Here is a 5,812-nt window from a genome sequence, read left to right as displayed (position 1 = left end):
TTTTGTGGAATTCAGGCTAAGCCTCAAGCACAGGAGCAAAACAAATGGGAGTTAATTTCAAACTTCACCCCTCTGCAGATGCACATGGCATCTACTGTGTCTGCTTTCTTTGTGCTTTATCTTTTTACTCGTCATATTCATTTCTGTCTCTTTTCTCTGCATTCTAGCAGAATTTCTCAAGCTTATCTTCTAATTCCCAAATTTGATTTCCATAATATTCAATCTACTCGTCGTTGCTTCTGTTGCTTTTCCAGATGGTTTTTTTTTCTAAAAGCAATATATGTACTAACAAATGCTTCCCTTTCTGTGACTTCATTGTCTTCTAGAATCTTGGAAAGAGCATGCATAGAGATTTTCAAAAATGTTCCCCTTTTTCATAGGGGGAATTCATATAACTCTATGATATCTCAGGTTTGTCATTTTGTATTGAACTCCTAAAATGGTTTTAATGGTTGGTTATCTTTTCTCTGATTCTTCATTTTTTTTGTAGACAAAATCTACACTTTTTCAGAATTAGTAGATGAGATGGTTTTCTCAATGACACATAAATATGATTTTGTAGAAGACCCATGGACAAGGTCACTGCCACAGTCACACACACACACAATGTGTGAGTCACACTTCAGATCTTTGGGGTACAGACCTCTGGATAATAGAAAAGTTTAGATTTGCTCTAGTTTCCCTTTGCCCCATGTTTTGGCACTTGCTGCAAATTGCATTTGCTACTTGTCTCTGGACCAGACTGCTCTGATTCTCTTGCTCACAATGAAATGGAAATTTCCTGGCATTGATAGTCTGATACTGGTTAGCAGATTCCACCCACTCTTTTTTCCTGATAAAATGCAACGCCCAGACAATATCTCTGTACCACTTGTATTTCTTTCAGCTTTTGCTTGGGAAATTTCAAGCCTTTGAGCAGGGCTAGGGCCCTCAGCTGCTGTTCCTATTAGAAGCAGAAAAATAAAATAGTGTGCCCATGGCCTAGGGTTAAAATGTATGAATGTGGGGGCCATTCCATTCCAGCAACTGAAGGTTAAGGAAACAGAAATTGTAACTTGATAAAGAAATGTATTCACAGCCTTGCTAGGGTTTAATGTCAGCAGAGTTTACTGAACAAGAACAGGCCTTAAACTAAGACATAAACTTCTCCCTAAGTAGGTTTGGGAGGGGTATTATAACCAGGATCCAGAAAGGTCCCTAAGAAAAGAACTTCAAATCAATGAAATTACATAATATTAATCCTTCTTCAATAGAAAAAGGGGATCATACACTCATTCAGGAGCCATGGTAAACATGTATTAATACTCTCTATTCAAGAAAAAAGAAAAAATAGTTCCACAAATACTTAAACTAAATTAGCCCCGGGCATCTATTCAAGTCTTTCTGCATCCTATCATCCTGACTGACTTTATCTCCTTCTGAAAGTATTTTGATCATCTCTTAATGTCTTTAGTCTGTCTCCCCCAACTAGAATATAAATTCAATGAAGGCAAGAGATCGTGCCTTTGTTGTTCTCTAACTGAAAGCCCAACACCTAGAACTGTGCCTGGCACATAATAGATGGTCAATTAACAACTACTAACTGAGTTCATGGTGGATGGTTGGATGATGGATGCATCAATTAATGAAAACAGGTAAGAAATTTCTTGAGCCATAGTTTTCCGTTATGTGGACTCTACCCAAGACAAAATAAAAGTTGGTGGGGGGAGATAATGGTTGGCTGTGTAGCCCCAGAATGATGGTTAATTTTGTAATGATCCAAGAATACCCAGGTAAGAGCATTTTTTACCATTGCTATCAGAAGATCATCATTCATTAGTCTTAAACAGGTCATTAATTCACCAACTACATTTGCCTTGTTGAATTTTAAAAATTACCCAGCGCACGGTTTTCTTTTAACTGATCATTAATTCAAGTCTCTGCATCCTTTACACAGTGGCTCTCACTGGCAGAAGACATGCTCCTTTAACCAAATTAACCAGAGTTTCTGCACCAAATGTCGGAATGACCTATCCTTTTCCTTGGATAGTAGTAGTCAGATGTTGCACAACTGTTCTTTAGAACAAACCCAGCACAGGAACAAGGCTTCAAGGGCCACTCATGCATATTGGCATTTGGGGTAGAGGTATCAGCCCCAGGCTCATTCGTCTTAAACATGTTTTTTCTCATACAAAGAGAGCAGCCTTTGGTTTGGACCCTGCAAAATCAGAGACCATGTGGTAGGGATGCAGTGGGCTGTGTCTTGAGCTTTGAACACCACCAGTCATGTCAAGAGCAGCTGATCCCTGGGACCACCCTGGAAAAGGAAGTCTCTAGAACCTCCCCATTTTAAATGACTGTGGATCACAAGTTATATTTCCCAAATCTCCAGACAATTTTCTTCATGCCCTTGGTTTAGGTCATAGATACCTCTTCCTTTTGTGGCAGGCTAGGTCTCACTAACAGCTGAACGGGCAGACCTCCATGACAATTGTTTGAGCACTGACTGAGTGGTTAAGTTAAATATTAAAAGCTGATAGAGCCTCTGTCCCTATACAAAGGCTGATATGTAACAAAAGCCCACCTTTTGTTTTGCCTAGGCTTTTCCTGGGCCTTGAAGCATGACAAGATAACAAAGGAATTTTTTTTTTTTAAGGAATTCTTAACAGGACCCGTTTAGGATTAAACAAGTTTAACTGGGGTCTGATGGAATTCCCCAGACATCCACAAACAAGTTTTACTGGGGTCTAAAGGAATTCCCCAAACCTCCATGATTTAGCAGGAGACAAGATAAGGGTAATCACCCTAGCACTTGGATCCATCTAGACTAAGTAAATTTACTGAGGCTCCGGAGGAAGGTCTTCAGGACTCAGACTTTAGAGATTAGAAAATGTTAATCACTTACGTCTTTAGAAGAATGTACACTTTTACATAGACATATAGCTCAGAAGGTCTATAAGCTCTGGAAAACATTATAATTTTGAGTCGGTCTGGTGATATTTTCCCACCCTTCTCCCTGTACCCGGTTACTGAAGTAAATTCTCTTCTTTCCCAGTTCATCTGCATCTCATTACTGAGCTGCGAGAATAAGCAACCCCACCCTCAGTTTGGTCCAGGAACACTGTTGCCTCCTCCACACCTCTTCCCCGCTCAGCCACCCACCCCACACCTCTTCCCCGTTCAGCCTCCCGTGGCCAGAGGGTTTTTATCATTTCAGTAGACTTTTTGGCTAACTCTAATCAGTAAATCAGCATCAAAGAATTCCCTCAAATTTTGTTTTAAAAAACCCCAAATACTTATTGTTTTAAGTGCATACATCTGATTACTGTTTTCCAATTTGACAACGATGGTGACCATTTTGACCTCCTCAGTGGTCAGCCCCCAGGTCCCTTTCTGGTGGCTTTATCAGGTTTGTGCAGGTTGTGTCATCACCCGACCTCACCCTCCCTGAGCAGGGAGGTTGAGAGGGAGCCTGGGGCTGTGGGAATTTCTGAATCTTACAGTTCTAGCCTGGAATTTAAAGTACCATTTGAAGAGTTGACTGTAATTACCGTTAGGAGTATGACAGCTAAGGTAGGAGGAACTGTCTTGTAATTCAGATTTTTAAGTATAAACTAAAGAGTTTTGTTTTTTGTTTTGTTTTGTTTTGTTTTTAGATGGAGTCTTACTCTCTCACCCAGGCTGGAGTGCAATGGCCTGATCTTGGCTCACTGTAACCTTCGCCTCCCAGGTTCAAGCAATTCTCCTGCCTCAGCCTCCCAAGTAGTTGGGATTACAGGCACCCACCACCACACCCAGCTAATTTTTGTATTTTTAGTAGAGACAGGGTTTCACCATGTTGGTCAGGCTGCTCTCGAACTCCTGACCTCAGGTGATCCACCCGCCTCAGCCTCCCAAATGGCTGGGATTACAAGTGTAAGCCACTGTGCCCAGCCTAAACTAAAACGTTTTAAGATACCATTTTAATTTTTTTTATCTTTGAAAGTGATGAACAGTTCTGTGGCTGTTTCTGCCCAAGGCATAACTCCATGGCTTGTTGGCCAGTAGCTGAATCTGAGCCTTGAGAGCCACAGCGAGGGGAATGCCTCGGGGCCTCTAGCCTCCAGCTGCCAGCCTCCGACCCTGCAGGTCATTTATTCCCATTGGGGCAAAGCAGGTCTACATTCTCAATTCCAAATGTATCATCTTCAATTTGGATTGAGCCTCTGAAAGATTTGGCCTTGGTTTCTAAGTCACTACAATACTGGATGGCCAAAATATTGTAATTTAAAATGATCAAACCATAGACATCATATATTTTAAGCATGCTTTAATTATTTCCTCGCTACATCTGCTTATTTATGATTATTAACTTGGGTGTTTCACCTTGAGTGGAGGGCTCACATCAGTTTTGTTGAACTAATTGAACAGCTTGTAAACTTTATTGGAAACTCATGTGCTTTTTCCTTGGCGTGCTTGCTGTTTGTTCCATCTGAGTATTATCATGGACTTGTTTATAGGCTCAACTTGTTCTGCTTGACTTTAACCACTGTCATCAGGATGTTGAAATTGTCTCCGCTTGGCATTGGGCACCATCCATATTTAGGCATCTTTGTCTGTTGCCACTACCCTAGACATCTCCAAGAGTCCTTGCTCTTTGGCAAAAACATTTCCCTGACCTTCTTGAACTTTGCATTTTTCTTGTCTTTAGGACCAGCCACAGCGGCCCCGTATCAGAGGCAGCCCGAGCCACTGAGGGGACCAGGGAAGGCTTCAAAGTCATAGCACGTGTAGAGTTCCCCATTTGACTGATTTTACTAAGTCCTTTCGTATCATGTTCTCATGTAAAAATAAATTTCCCTAGTGAACTATCAACTTTTCTTCTCTACTATTTAATTCTCTTACATAAAAGATCCTTTTGGTTAACTTTGTTGTATCATGCTTTATTTCCTCCCACCAAACCACATCTCTACATTATAATATTATCCAAAGCTTTATAAATCTTCATTTTTCCTTCTTAATAAAAAAGAGGAGAGTAGGCAAGGCATAGTGGCTCATCTCTGTAATCCCAGCACTTTGGGAAGCCAAGGTGGGAGGATTGCTTGAGGCCAGGAGTTTGAGACCAGCCTGCACAACATAGGGAGACTCTGTCTCTATAACAACGACAACAACAACAAAAAAATGTTTTATAAAACTACTCAGGCATGGTGGTGCATGCCTGTAGTCCTAGCTCCTAGGATGCTGAGATGAGGGGATCGTTTGAGCCCAGGTATTTGAGGCTGTGGTGAGCTATGACTGCACCACTGTACTCCAGCCTGGGTGAAAGACATAGTGAGACTTTGTCTCTAAAAATAAAAATTTTAAAAAAAGGATGTCATCCAGCAATTTGAAAATATTTAAGCAAGACTGTGGCCGTGAGCAACTTAACTATTCAAGGGTGCAGGGATGCCACTGTGGCCAGCTACTGACATGTATGGGAATGGGACAGCAATTTTAAAGACAAAAAGAAGTTTCTATCAGAATATTGCTTCAACTGTGTATATGTTTAGAACACACATAAGAAAATGAGATGGTAAATAAATAGAAGCTAGTATAATTCTTCTGGTAGTTTTTCCTCCTTGGATGTAAGGTGGAAAATCCCTCCCCATTTTATAAATATGAGAACTAGAACATAGGCACCCTGCTCCTCATCCCCTCCAGAACAAAGACAGGACCCAAGACCATCTTGCAAATTACATATGGCAGAATGAAGCCACCAGCTGCCTAGTATGTTGTAGTCACTAAATTGCTGAATAGGTTGGGATTTCCTTCCAAGTGCCCATCATATTTTCTGCTAGATTTTAAGTCAGAATGA

The sequence above is a fragment of the Homo sapiens genome, chromosome 6, assembly GCF_000001405.40.
Source record: "Homo sapiens chromosome 6, GRCh38.p14 Primary Assembly".
In the NCBI taxonomy this organism is placed as follows: Eukaryota; Metazoa; Chordata; class Mammalia; order Primates; family Hominidae; genus Homo; species Homo sapiens.
The sequence above is the reverse complement of the archived record's forward strand: the minus strand, read 5'-3'. Positions refer to the sequence as shown.